Genomic DNA, 14,653 nt, shown 5'->3' on the forward strand with positions numbered 1-14,653 from the left:
AATCAGGAAAGAAAAGATGTGCTGTACTATTATCCCAGCTTACTGCCTGATACAGATTCTAGGCCTCTGCTCTGGTAGGAAGAACCCAGACAAAGCCTGGAGGACAACTTTCTGAGTTGACATGAAAGTGAGAGCTAATGGAGATCAAGGCAGAACAGAGTAATGGAGGGAAGAGAGACAGAGGGAAGCCCAGAGATCTGCAGAAGATCCACTTCAAGAATTCAGCAGGGTACTGATAAGCACATGCATGTGACGTAACTATCAAAAACCAGGGAAAAAACATCTGAACAGTATACAGATCTGGCCAGATGTCACTCTGAGCCTATGCATGTTTCCACCATCTAACCTTAAAAAACTTTTTTCACTCACATAGTGCTGAGTACAAAATCAGGAAAACCTTGCCTGAGTAGTGGAGAATAATTAGTCCTACAATGAGCACTGCTCCAAATGTGCCTAATAAGATAACTGCAGATTAGACAATGCAGAAAAACGATACAAACACATGATATGTTCTATACATACATGCAATTAAGAAAGTGATTTCATTTATAACAGCATCTAAAAGAAAAAAAAATACCTAAAAATAAATTTAACCCAGGAGGTGAAAGACTCATACACTGAAAACTACAAATCGTTACCGAAAACAAATTTCACCTAAATAAAGACATTTATGTCCACAGGAAGGAAGACTTACTATCACTAAGCTATCAATACTATTCAATGTGATTTACAGATTCAATACAATCCCTATCAAATTCCCAAAGACTTTCCTGCAGAAATGGAAAAGCCCAGGAGTTTAAGATTACAGTGAGCCATGACTACACCACTGCACCCCAGCCTGGGCAACACAGCAAGACCTTCTCTCAAAAAAATAAGTAAAGAAAAACAAGGAGGTCCTTATTCAGAATTCAGGATCACCTCAAATTCATATGGAATTGCAAAGAACACCAAACAGCCAAAACAGTCTTGAAAAATTACAAAATTGGAAAACACACACTTCCTGATTTCAAAACTACAAAGCTACAGTGATCAAAACAGTGTGGGACTTGCTTAAAGATAGACATACACCAATGGAACAGAATGGAAACTCCAGAAATAAGCCATGTATGGCCAACTGATTTTGAGCAAGGGTGCCATAAAAGAATGGTCTCTTGAACAAATGCTGTTAGAGCAACTAATTTTTGGCATGTGAAAGAGTAAAGCTGGACCCCTACTTCACACCATATATTAAAATTAACTCAAAGGGATTAATGGCCTACACATAAGAGCTAAAAACATAAAAGAGATAAATCTTGGATTTGGTAATAGATTCTTATATATGACACTAAAAATACTAGAAAAGAGAGAGAGAGAAGTTGGGCTTTCTCAAACCACAAACTTTTAAAATGAACCAAAGACCTATCATTAGGCTTAAAACTATAAAACTTAGAAGAAAACACAGGGCAAAAGCTTCATAGTATGAATTTGGCAATGACTTCTTGGATATGACAACAAAAACCCAGGCAACAAAGTCAAAATAGATACACTGGACTTTATCAGAATTTAAAACTTATGTGCATCAAAGGACGCAATCAGCAGAGTCAAAAGGTAACCTACGGAATGGGAGAAAATTTGCAAATCAACTACCTGCAAGGGAGTGTCTCAGTCTATTTTGTGCTGCTATAATAGAATACCACAGACTGAGTAATTTATAATGAAATGAAATTTACTGGCTCACAGTTCTGGAGGAGGAGAAGTTCAAGAGAGAGGGAACAGCATCTGGCCAGTGCCTTCTCACTGCGTTATCCCAAGGGAGAAGGCAGAAAGACAAAAAAGAGACAAAGGGGAGCCAAACTCATTATTTTATAAGGAACCTACTACCAGGATAACAAAACTCACTGCATTAATCCATTAATTAAGGGCAGGGCCCTCACAGCCTAATCACTTCTTAAAGTTCCCACTATTTTTTTTTTTTTAACCATTTTCTTCAATAGCCCTGACAGTCCCACCTCTTAATACTATTACAATGGCAATTAAGTTTCAAAGTGAGACATTCCCACCATAGCAGGGAGTTAATATCCAGAATATATGTATAAAGAATTTTACAACTCAACAATAAAACAAAACGCAAATAACCCAATTTAAAAATGGGCAAAGAGGCCAGGAATGGTGGCTCATGCCTGTAATCCCCGCACTTTGGGAGGCCAAGGCGGGTATATCACTTGAGCCCAGGAGTTTGAGACCACCCTGGGTAACATGACAAAACTGCAGCTCTACAAAAAATACAAAAATTAGCTGGGCCTGCTCGTGTGCGCCTGTACTCTCAGCTACTCGGGAGGCTGAGGTGGGAGGATCGCCTGAGCCTGGGGAGGTCGAGGCTCCACTGAGCCGTGATCATGCCACTGCACTCCAGCCTGAGCAACAGAGAGAGAGAGACCATGTCTCCAAAAAAAAAAAAGGAAAATTTGACACACGGCACACATGGACAAACCTGGAGGACATTATGCAAGATGAAATAAGTCAATCACAAAAAGATAAGGATGAATATGGTATGATTCCATGTATATGAGGTATCTAAAGTAAGTCAAACACATAGAAACAAAGGAGAATGGTGGTTGTCAGGGAATGGGAGGGTGGCAAAAAATGGAAAGTTGTTGTTTCATGGGTATAGAATTTGTTTTGAAAGAAGAAGTTCTGGAAATTGGCTGCAGAACAATGTGAATATACTTACACTACTGAAGTCTACACTTAAGAATGGTTAAGATGGTAACTTCTTTGCTATGTGTATTTTACCACAATTAAACAATTTTTAAAAAATCAACCGTATTTCTATATGCTGGCAACAAACAATTGTGAATTTAAATTTTAAAAAATTACATTTATGTAATGATACCATTTACAATAACGTCAAGAAATATGAAACGGAATAATCTGACAAAAGATGGGAAAGACATGTCAACTGAAAACTACAAAACTCAGCTGAAAGAAATTACAGATCTAAAATAAATGGAGAGATACTACATTCATGCATCAGAAGACTTGATCAATTCTTTCCAAACAGATCTTCACGGCAAAAGAATACCAATAACAATCCCAAAAGGCTTTCTTGTGGAAACTGCCAGGCTAATTCTAAAATGCAAAGACCCAGAATCACTAAAACAACTTTAAAAAATAACAAGATTGGGGGACTGTTAGTTTTCAAGTCTTATGAACCTCCAGTAATCAAGACTGCAGGGTACTGATGTAAAGACAAATAGATCAAAGGAACAGAATAAAGAGTTCAGAGACTGACTAATATATGGACAATTGATTTTTGACAAAGATGCAAAAGTAGACCAAGCACGGTGGCTCACACCCTTAATCCCAGCACTCTGGGAGGCCAAGATGGGTGGATAACGAGGTCAGGAGTTCGAGACCAGCCTGGCCAACATGGTAAAACCCTGTCTCTATTAAAAATACAAAAATTAGCCAGGTGTGGTGGCATGCGCCTGTAATCCCAGCTACTCAGGAGGCTGAGGCAGGAGAATCGCTTGAACCTGGGAAGTGGAGGTTGCAGTGAGCCGAGATTGCGCCACTGCACTCCAGCATGGGCGATGGGACAAGACGCCATCTCAAAAAAAAAAAAAAAAAAGATGTAAAAGCTATTCAATGAATAAAAACATATTTTTCAGCAAATGAACAACTGTTCATAAACAAATAATTTCCATCCTTATTTTGCACCATATAAAAATGTAATCAAAATTAAACACAAACCCAATTGTAAAATCTAAAACTATAAAGCTTCCATAAACATAGAAGGAAGGCCAAGCACAATGACTCACACCTGTAATCCCAGACTTTGGGAGGCCGAGGTGGATGGATATTAAGGTCAGGAGACTGAACTCATGCCTGTAATCCCAGCACTTTGGTAGGCCGAGGCAGGTGGATCACGAGGTCAGGAGATTGAAACCATCCTGGCTAGCGCGGTGAAACCCCGCCTCTACTAAAACTGCAACTCTACTAAAAATACAAAAAATTAGCCAGGCATGGTGGCGGATGCCTGTAGTCCCAGCTACTCGGGAGGCTGAGGCAGGAGAATCGCTGGAACCCGGGAGGCAGAGATTGCAGTGAGCTGGAGATTGCAGTGGGCAGAGATTGTGCTACTACACTCCAGCCTGGGCGACAGAGAAAGAGACTCCGTCTAAAAAAAAAGAAAAAATAGAAGGAAATTCCTATGATTTGGGATTAGGCAACAATTTCTTAAATATGAAACCAAAACCCTGATCTATAAAAGAGCAAATTGATAAATTTCATCAAAATTTAAAATTCCTGTTCTTCAAGACACTGCTGAGAGAATGAAAAGATGGACCACGGCCTAGAGAGAATGTATTTGCAAATCATTTGACGAGGGACTTGCATCCCAAATATATAACGAATTCTCAAAACTCAATTACAAGAAAACAACCAACCAACAACAACAACAAAAAATAGGCAAAAGACAAGAACAGACACTTTGCCAAAAGGGATATACAGAAGACATATAAGCTTAGGGAAGTTGGGCACATGGCTCACACCTGTAATCCCAGCACTTTGGGAGGCTGAGGCAGGCGGACGACTTGAATCCAGGAGTTCAAGACCAGTCTGGGCAACATAGTAAGACCCCATCTCTATAAAAAATTAAAAAATTAGCTGGGTATGGTGGCATACGCCTGTAGTCCCAGTTACTCGAGAGGCTGAGGTGGGAGAATTACCTGCTCCCAGGAGGTCAAGGCTGCAATGAGCCAAGATCACGCCACCGCACTCCAGCCTGGGCAACCAAAGTGAGACTCTGCCGGAGGAGGAAAAAAAAAAAAAACTTATGGAAAGATACTGAATGCCACTAGCCATAGGGAAGCACAAATTAAAAGAACAATGAGACATCACTAAAGACCAATTGGAAGGGCTAAAATTGGTCAGGTGTTGGTAAGGATATGGATGAACTAGAATTATCATACAGTGCTAGCTGCAATGTACAACTGTACAATTACTTTTAAAATAATTAGTTTGGCAATTTATTTTATTTTATTATTTTTTTAAAGACAGAGTCTTACCATGTTGCCCAGGCTGGTCTCAAATCCCTGGGCTCAGGCAATCCTCCTGCCTCGGCCTCCCAAAGTGCTGGGATTACAGGTGTGAGCCACCATGCCCAGCCAACAGTTTCTTAAAAAGTTAAATACATCTACCATATGACCCAGCCATTTCACTCCTATTTACTTTTAAAAAAGTGTATTCTGTACAAAGATTGGCACACAGATGTTCACAGCAGCTTTATTTGTAATAGCCAATAACTGGTGAGAAGCCGAAAGTCCATCAACAAGGGAATGTACAAATCGTGGTTCATCCACAAATGGACTACTACTCAGTAATTAAAAAGAATGAACTACCGATTTACATAACACTGATAAATCTCAAAATAATTTATGCTGAACTTTTTAAAAGCCAAAGAGGAGAATATGCTGTATTTATAAAATAACAACAACAAAAAAAAGCTAGAAAATTCAAACCAGCTGGGGGCAGTGGCTCACACCTGTAATCCCAGCACTTTGGGAGGCCGAGGCGGGCGGATGGTCTGAGGTCGGGAGTTTGAGACCAGCCTGACCAACATGGAGAAACCCCGTCTCTACTAAAAATACAAAATTAGCCTGGCATGGTGGCGCATGCCTGTAATCCCAACTACTTGGGAGGCTGAGGCAGGAGAATCACTTGAACCCAGGAGGCGGAGATTGTGGTGAGCCGTTATCACGCCATTGCACTCCAGCCTGGGCAACAAGAGTGAAACTCCATCTCAAAAAAAAAAAAAGGGGGAAGAAAATTCAAGCCAATATATAGTGACAGAGTAGATAAATTATCGCCTGGAAATGGAGGTGTAGAGGGAGGTAAAAAGAAACATTTGAGGGTGATGAATATGTTTACTATCTTGATTATGATAATGGTTTCACAGGTGTATAGACATGTCACAACACAAAACTGTGCACTCCAAACACATACAGTTTATTTTATGTCAATTAAACTGAATAAGGTTGTTTAAAAAAGACAAGCAAATACAAAGCTAACTATAAAAAAGTCAGACTAATGCTGGGCACAGTGGCTCACACCTGCAATCCCAATGCTTTGGGAGGCCAAGGCAGGAGGATTCTTTGAAGCCAGGAGTTCGAGACCAGCCTGGACAACAAAGCAAGAGCACATCTCTACAAATAAAAATTTAAAAATTAGCCAGGCATGATGGGACGTACGTGTAGTCCCAGCTACCAGGAGGCTGAGGCAGGAAGATCACTTGAGCCCTGGAGTTCCCGGGTGCACTGAGCCATAATCACACCACTGCACTCCAGCCTGGATGAAACAGTAAGACTCTTGTCTCAAAAATAAATAAATAAATACACATTAAGAATAGATTTCTCTCCAATTCTCACAGAACAATGCTCTTGCTATGCCATAACCTCTTTCTCCATAGCATATCTAAGATTTCATAACCACTTGTGAAAGTTCTATGACATGCTGAACTGGAGGAAGGGAAGAGGAAAAGGGGAAGAGAGAACACATGTAAGAAACTGAGAAATTTCTTTTTTTTTTTTTTTGAGAAAGAGTCTCGCTCTGTCGCCCAGGCTGGAGTGCAGTGGCACGATCTCCGCTCACTGCAAGCGTGGTCCACCTCCCAGATTCACGCCATTCTCCTGCCTCAGCCTCCCAAGTAGCTGGGACTACAGGCACCCACCACCACGCCTGGCTAATTTTTTTGTATTTTTAGTAGAGACAGGGTTTCACCGCGTCAGCCAGGATGGTCTCAATCTCCTGACCTCGTGATCCGCCTGCCTCAGCCTCCATAAGTGCTGGGATTATAGGCGTAAGCCACCGCGTCCAGCTGAAACTGAGAAATTTCAAAAATGCTTCCATAGGGTAATAAAGCATGTTTACGTGTATACAGCCAAAAGGATACCTAACAGTAAGAAAAAATTAATGTATTCCTGTTACGTAGAGGAGGTTGTATGCACTTTTACCATTACCATTGAATACTTTTCTGGATATTCTAGTTCATTTAACATCAAAATAAGATATAAAATTATCAACACATGCAATATTTGTGAATATTTATCCAGAAGATCCTGCAAAATTAAATATTTTTTGAAAGACAAAGCACAAGTTATCAATGCAGAGTACCAGCCAGGCATGGTGGCTCATGCCTATAATCCCAGCACTCTTGAGAGGCTGAGGCTGGAGGATTACTTGAGGCCAGGAGTTCAAGACAAGCCTGGACAACACAGTGAGACCCAATCTCTACAAAAAAATTTAAAAACTAGCCAGGCATAGTGCCACGTGCCTATAGTCCTTGCTACTAGGGAGGCTGAGGCAGGAGGATCATTTGAACCCAGGAGTTTAAGGTTACAGCAAGCTATGATTGTGCGCCACTGCACTCCAGCCTGGATGACAGAGTGAGGCCTCACCTCTTAAAAAAAAAAAAAAAAAAAAAAAGGGCCAGGCGCAGTGGCTCACGCCTGTAATTCCAGCACTTTGGGAGGCCAAGGCAGGTGGATCGCCTGAGGTCAGGAGTTCAAGACCAGCCTGGCCAACATGGTGCAACCCCATCTCTACTAAAAATACAAAATTATCCGGGCATGGTGGCACATGCCTGTAATCCCAGCTACATGGGAGGCTGAGGCAGGAGAATCACTTGAACCCGGCAGGCAGAGGCTGTAGTGAGCCAAGATCACACCATTGCACTCCAGCCTGGGCAACAACAGTGAAACTCCGTCTCAAAAAAAAAAGGAAATGCACACCAAGAATCCCTACAGAAGGTGAAAAGAGCCTACGAGGTCATTATTCACAGCTTTATGCCAACTAATTTGACATTTTAGATAAAATGGGCAAATTCCCAACAAAACACAACTTACTGAAACTGACAGAACTAAAAATCAAACAGAAAACCTACGCTGTTCTAGAATTAATCTCCAAAAGGCCAAGAACTATAAAGTTCTAGAACTGTATTACCAATCTTACACAAATTCTTCCACAGAATAGAAAACCAAACTATCCAATTTGTTTTTAAGGCAGATAGCATTTGGATATCTGTCTCCTCCAAATCTCATGTTGAAATGTGACCCCCAGTGTTGGAGGTGGGGCCTAGTGGCAGCTGTTTGGGTCATGGGGGCTGATCTCTTCTCAGTTGTTTGGTGTCCTTCTCACAGTAATGAGTGAGTCCTCGCTCCATTAGTTACCACAAGATGTGATTGGTTTTGTTTATTGTTTGTTTTTGAGACAGAGTCTCACTCTGTCACCCAGGGTGGAGTGCAGTGGTGCCTCCCAGTTTCAAACAATTCTCCTGTCTCAGCCTCCCAGGTAGCTAGGACTACAGGCATGCACCATCACACCCGGCTAATTTTTGTATTTTTAGTAGAGACGGGGTTTCACTATGTTGGCCACGCTGGTCTCCAGCTGACCTTAAGTGATCCACCGCACGCGGCCAAGATCTCATTGCTAAAAGGAGCCTGGCACCTCCTCCCCTCTCTCTCTTGCTCCCTCCCCCACACTTGATAAGCTGCTTCCCCTTCGCCTTCTGTCCTGATTGCAAGCTTTCTGAGGCCCTCACCAGAAGCAGATGCTGGTGCTAAGCTTCCTGTACAGCCTAAAGAACCACTTTTCTTGATAAATTCCCCAGTCTCAGGTATTCTCAGGTATTCCTTTACAGCAACGCAAACAGCTAACACACACCTCCTTTTTTTTTTTTTTTTGGAGATGGAGTCTCGCTCTGTCGCCAGGCTGGAGTGCAGTCTGTCGCCAGGCTGGAGTGCAGTGGCACGATCTCGGCTCACTGCAACCTCCGCCTCCCAGGTTCAAGCGATTCTCCTGCCTCAGCCTCCTGAGTAGCTGGGACTACAGGCGCCTGCCACCATGCCCAGCTAACTTTTGTATTTTTATAGAGACAGGATTTCACCATGTTGGCCAGGATGGTCTTGATCTCTTGACCTTGTGATCCGCCCACGTCGGCCTCCCAAAGTGCTGGGATTACAGGTGTGAGCCACCGTGCCCGGCGACACACCTCCCTTTTCTAGAAGGAAATGATCTCTTGGAGTAAATACTTGATTCTCTTTTATTTTTCAGATTATGACATCTCTCTGCCAGTATCTTTTTCTGGTCAATATATCTCTTTGCCAAATAAGGTAGAAAAAAGTTGTCAGGCCAAGCATCATGGCTCTAACCTATAATCCCAAAACTGGGAGGCTGAGACAGGAGGATCATTTGAGCCCAGGAGTTTGAGACCAGCTTGGGAAACAGAGGAAGACTCCATCTCTACAAAAAATAAATTAAAAAAAAAAAAAAAGCCAGGCATGGTGGCACATATCTGTTGTCCCAGCTACTCAGGAGGCTGAGGTGAGAGGACTGCTTGAGCCCAAGAATTTAAGGCTGCAGTGAGCCATGACTGGCCATTGCAGCCTGGATGACAGCAAGACCCTATCTCAAAAAAAAAAACACAGAAAACAAAAAAGAAAAAAGTTATCAGCTGGACAATCTTCCCTGTGATTACTAGTAGCATCTAAGAACCTGAAATCATGAGTGTCATTGAAACCAAGCTGTAAGGAAATTCCAACACATTAAAATGAAATCAATTCATATAGGGGCTATAGGACACAGCACCCGGAGGTGACATTAGAAACTGCAAACAGGAAAAACACATAATTCAGGGGTACTAGCATATGATACAAACATATATGATTAAAAGCATTCACTGTTCTCCCAACGTCCACACACTCAGAAAAACACTGCTACCTGCTCATGCTAGCCTTCTCACTATCTACAGCAAACACCAAGAAAACTCAGTATTCATCACAATTAACATCAACTCCATGCGTTCTCAGAGAGGAGGAAAGACCAGGCAGGAATCTACCTGTGCCCAAAATTAGGTTACCATCAGGATCCAACGGAGAAAGAACTGGGGAATAAACTGAGTCTAGGTTTCTTTGAGTAAACATCCCTCACAAGTTTCTGCTCTTAAGCACACAAATTTAGCAACTTTAATTTCTAGGTTGGGGTCTAGTTCCTGTCAACACTAGGAAATGGGAGACAACTACTTTTATCACGGTCAGATCACCTATAGATTGTGATCATTCAATCATACATGCAAAGAATATTACAAAATACTAACAACATTAGTATGTATTAAGGGGCTTACTAGATGCCAAGTTGCAGCAACCCTCACAACCCTCTGAGGTAAATGCCATTATTAATCAGGAGTTACGTTAACTTATCGAACTGTGGAAACTGGGATTTCAAGCATGCTCGTCTAATCACTATACTAATAATGCTTCAACCTGCCAATTTATTTTTTATTCTGTAAGCCATAAGGAGCCAATGAAAAAAATTAAGGACAGCAGTAATGATCATCTTTACATGCTAGAACACACTACTCAGCCACGTGCAAGGTGGACTGACGCTGGGGTGAACAAGGGTCTTGAAAGAGATAGTCAAAGTCTGGGTCAAAAATGCTGAGGAAATTCTGAGCATAAGAATGCATAGGAGAGGATAAAAACCTAAAATCTGTATCTAATAAACTTAGCTAGACTTTCTGATTGTTTTAAGTATGGGAAGGGATGAAGGAAGCTACCTCGCAGGTTACTAGCTGGGCCACTGGTTAGTAATTACTGTCCATCAATTCATGAGACAGGAGGAGGAACTGGTGCTTTAGTTTTGTGTAGCAAGCAGGAAGAGGACAAGTCTACTTAACGCGAATCAAAATGAGAGCAAGCAATTATACAGAATTTCTCTCCCTCGACAAGATAAGCTTCTCATATTACAGAGATCTTAACTTTGAAATGCTTTTCAAAATAGGGAGTCACTTGGGCTGGGAGGGGACTTCAACTAAGTCCTCATTTTACAGAGGAGGCACTGAGGGGCAAGGCTGTTTCAATACCCTGTCCAGAGTGCGCACTGTTCAGGCAAAACCAGGACTAAAAACCAGCTCTGCCGGATCCGTTCTACCTACTGCTCCTTCTGCTTCAGCTGCCCTCCCAACCTACTAATAGGGATTTACATCCCCAAATACGTTCATGTAAACACTTAGCATTCTTCAACTAAACACAAAATCAGATATGTAAGCTAAAAATCTAAAGCCAAAAACATGTATTTAATTTCCATAAAATTTCTACTTTTCTTTGGAAAAACTTTCCCATTGTGTCAGTTTCTATTCACTGTAACATTCCCTATATTTCAGGTCCTAAGACCAAAAAAAAAAAATCCTTTTTAAACTTAGGCCTTGAAGAAACGACAAACCCTCTAGGCTTAATATTCCACCACATGAAACCACTGACACAGACAAGGCCTGTTCTGCCGAAACCAGGCCAGTTAAGTCAGGGCTCAATTGCTTCTGTATTATTGTCAGAAGCCATCTCCACCTCAAGCAAAAGTAAAACTGGAGAAAGAGGCCAGCCTAACTTGCTCCTCGGCTGGTCCCCAGCAACGCCCCTGGAAACTCTGCTCCCCATCGCTAGGACCGCCCCTCCGACGCCGGGAGAACACGGAAGGAGCAGCAAGGCGCTGCCCGGCATCTGCCGCCAACTTCCCCGTCGACGGTCTGATTCAAATGCTCCCTGTTTTCCATGTAGACTTGGAGAGAAACTGCGCCAGGAAAACTGTTATCAACTGTTACAGGGACGGAGAACTCCGAAATAACCAAATTACTACTTATATTCACTGTCCCATGTCTAGCGCCTTTTGAAACAATAACCAAATCCTGTAAAGTTTTGTCTGCGATGAGCAGTCACTAGGAAAAACCTGTATTCGTGATGAATTCGCCTCCCCCCCAGAAAAGGACCGACTTTCCAAGAGCCGAAGCCCCTGCCCGGAGCGGCGGGCTCGCGGGCCCTGGGTGCGACCCCACCCAGCCTCCCCGGCATTCAGGCCGCCGGGCCCCGCGCCCGCGCTCACCCAGGTGCTCCCCGCGGCCTGCGCGCCCGCGCGCTTCTCCGGCATGGCTCCCGCCTCGGGCTCCGACGCCGCCTTCTCCTCCAGCTCCGGCGGCGGCTCCACGCTCATGCCGCGGCCATGCCCGCGCCAGCTCGGGGCGCTCCGGGACGACGGCGACGCCGCGGAGGCGGCGGCGGTGCCCGCGCCCTCATGGGCTCTGCGGCCCGCGGCGGCCTGCGGGTCAGGCGGCGGCGCCGAGGGCTGAGGAGGCGGCGGAGGCTGAAGCTGCGGATCAGGCTAGCAGAAGACCGCAGCTCCAGGAACCGACCACTTAGCAAACCGCACCGACCCCGACTGTCGCAGTTACCGGCGGCGTCAGGGGCGGGCTGCACGGTTGGAGGCCCCACCCCGCACCTCAGCTCCCGCCTCGAGAACGAGTCCCGCGCCTGAGTAGCCTCCAGCGACGCCACGCCCACTTCAGAGACCCCTCCTTTACCTCGCGACTGGCCCCTTGGCATCAGGACTTCGCGGCGCGCGGGAAGTACGTCATTTCGAGAGCCCGTACGACTAATTTCTTTTTCCGGAGAATCTGGACTGAGGCTAGCAAGCGAGGAGGGGCAAACTCGTGGGGGTTTGGTAGTGATTGCAGTTCAGTTTTGGTCTTGGTTTGCTCCAACCCGCCAACCTCTCAAGTTTTTCTATGGTTCTCCAAGAAGAAAATAATATAATAGCAATGTTTCCCAAACGTACTTGAACACAACACTTTTTATTCTTGACACATGATTAATATCTTGCAGAATGTGTAGGACACAGTTGGAAAAGCCTGGCTTTTTATGTTTATTTATTTTGAAAGATATGCACCTAATACTGAAATATAAAAAAGCCTACAGGCCTGGCGCGGTGGCCCACACGTATAATCCCAGCACTTTGGGAGGCCGAGGCGGCTGGTTCACCTGAGGTCAGGAGTTAGAGACCAGCCTGGCCAACGCGGTGAAACCCTGTCTCTACTAAAAAACAAAAACAAAAACAAAAAACACCAAAAAAATTAGCCGGGCTTGGTGGCGCACGCCTGTAATCCAAGCTACTCGGGAGGCTGAGGCAGGAGAATAGCTTGAACCTGGGAGCCGGAGGTTGCAGTGAGCCGAGATAGCGTCACTGCACTCCATCCTGGGCGACAGAGTGAGGCTCTGTCTCACAAAAAAAAAAAAAAAAAAAAAAAACTTTTTACAAACATCAATAGAAAAAAGAATAAAATTATTTCTATTAACAGGATTAGTAATTTTAATTGAATTAAAGTCATTTCATTTAAGAATTTTTTCAGGTTGGGCGTGGTGGCTCACGCCTGTAATCCCAGGACTTTGGCAGGCAGAGGTGGGCGGATCGCCTGAGGTCAAGAGTTCCAGACCAGCCTGGCCAACATGGTGAAACCCCGTCTCTACTAAAAATACAGAAGTTAGCCGGGCATGGTGGCGGATGCCTGTAATCCCAGCTACTTGGGAGGCTGAGGCAAGAGAATCGCTTGAACCCAGGAGGCGGAGGTTGCAGTGAGCCGAGATGGTGCACTGCACTCCACCCTGGGTGACAAGAGTGAGACTTCGTCTCCAAAAAAAAAAAAAAAGCTTCTTTTTCGCTTCCCACCCACCACCCCCAAACACACACACACACACACACACACACACACAGACACACACACACACTTTGCAGAAGTCTTTACTTTTATTTATTTATTTATTTATTTATTTTTGAGACAGAGTCTTGCTCTGTCACCCAAGCTACAGTCACCCAGCCTAGATCAGTGGCGTGATCTAGGTTCACTGCAACCTCTACCTCCCGCATTCAAGCGACTCTCCTGCCTGAGCCTGCGGAGTAGCTGGGATTACAGGTGCGCGTCACCATGCCCGGCTAATTTTTGTATTTTTAGTAGAGACGGGGTTTCACCATGTTGGCTGGGCTGGTCTTGAACTACTGACTTCAAGTGATCCGCCCCCCTCGGCTCACCAAGCCGGCCTGGTCTTTTTTTTTTTTTTTTTTTTGAGACGAAATTTCGCTTTTGTCGCCCAGCCTAGATCAGTGGCTGGATCTCGGCTCACTGCAACCTGTGCCTCCTGGGTTCAAGCAATTCTCCTGCCTCAGACTCTCGAGTAGCTGGGATTACAGGTGCATGCCACGACCTGGCTATCTTCTGTATGTTTGGTAGAGACAAGTTCACCATGTTGGCCAGGCTGTTCTTGAATTCCTGATCTCAGGTGATCCACCCGCCTCGACCTCCCATAGTGCTGGGATTACAGGCCTGAGCCACTACACCCAGCCTGATTTGTCTACTTTTCTGAATGATTGTTTTAACAAATAGTTTTCAAAACACAAAGGGAATATATGTATTATGTTATGCTGTTTGAGTATTATGTTTATGCCACTTATGAGCTTGGGTATCAGTTTCTGATTCCTGTATCCATGAAACAGAAAATTTTGTAGACTGTTTGTTTTGTTTTGAGACAGTCTCGCTCTGTTGCCCAGTCTGGAGTACAGTGGCGCTATCTCAGCTCACTGCAACCTCTGCCTCCCCAGTTCAAACGATTGTGGTGCCTCAGCCTCCTGAGTAGCTGGGACTACAGGCACCTGCCACCACACCCAGCCAATTTTTGTATTTTTAGTAGAGACAGGGTTTCACCATGTTGGCTGGGCTGGTCTCCAACTCCTGACCTCAAGTGATCCGCCTGCCTCAACATCCCAAAGTGCTGGGTGAGCCACCATGCCCAGCCTGGAC

At 44.2% G+C, this 14,653-nt stretch overlaps 1 pseudogene across 3 annotated transcripts in view, besides 3 other annotated features; it reads right to left on the bottom strand.

Moving 5' to 3' along the window:
• The window catches only part of SLC71A3P (solute carrier family 71 member 3, pseudogene), a 70,693-nt pseudogene extending 58,436 nt beyond the window's left edge, over window positions 1-12,257 (bottom strand). For all 3 annotated transcript variants that reach the window (NR_172875.1, NR_172876.1, NR_172874.1), the window contains exon 1: window positions 11,911-12,257. The product of NR_172875.1 is annotated as a solute carrier family 71 member 3, pseudogene, transcript variant 2 (transcript). The remainder of the gene's footprint in view (window positions 1-11,910) is intronic.
• Window positions 11,282-11,421: a silencer, noted in NCBI's record as "silent region_20094". NCBI's record gives its function as "represses an Ori minimal core promoter by ATAC-STARR-seq in GM12878 lymphoblastoid cells {active_cell/tissue: GM12878}" and the evidence as "EXISTENCE:reporter gene assay evidence [ECO:0000049][PMID:35858748]".
• Window positions 12,082-12,141: a silencer, noted in NCBI's record as "silent region_20095". NCBI's record gives its function as "represses an Ori minimal core promoter by ATAC-STARR-seq in GM12878 lymphoblastoid cells {active_cell/tissue: GM12878}" and the evidence as "EXISTENCE:reporter gene assay evidence [ECO:0000049][PMID:35858748]".
• Window positions 12,182-12,281: a silencer, noted in NCBI's record as "silent region_20096". NCBI's record gives its function as "represses an Ori minimal core promoter by ATAC-STARR-seq in GM12878 lymphoblastoid cells {active_cell/tissue: GM12878}" and the evidence as "EXISTENCE:reporter gene assay evidence [ECO:0000049][PMID:35858748]".

This window comes from Homo sapiens, chromosome 9, assembly GCF_000001405.40.
Source record: "Homo sapiens chromosome 9, GRCh38.p14 Primary Assembly".
Classification (NCBI taxonomy): Eukaryota; Metazoa; Chordata; class Mammalia; order Primates; family Hominidae; genus Homo; species Homo sapiens.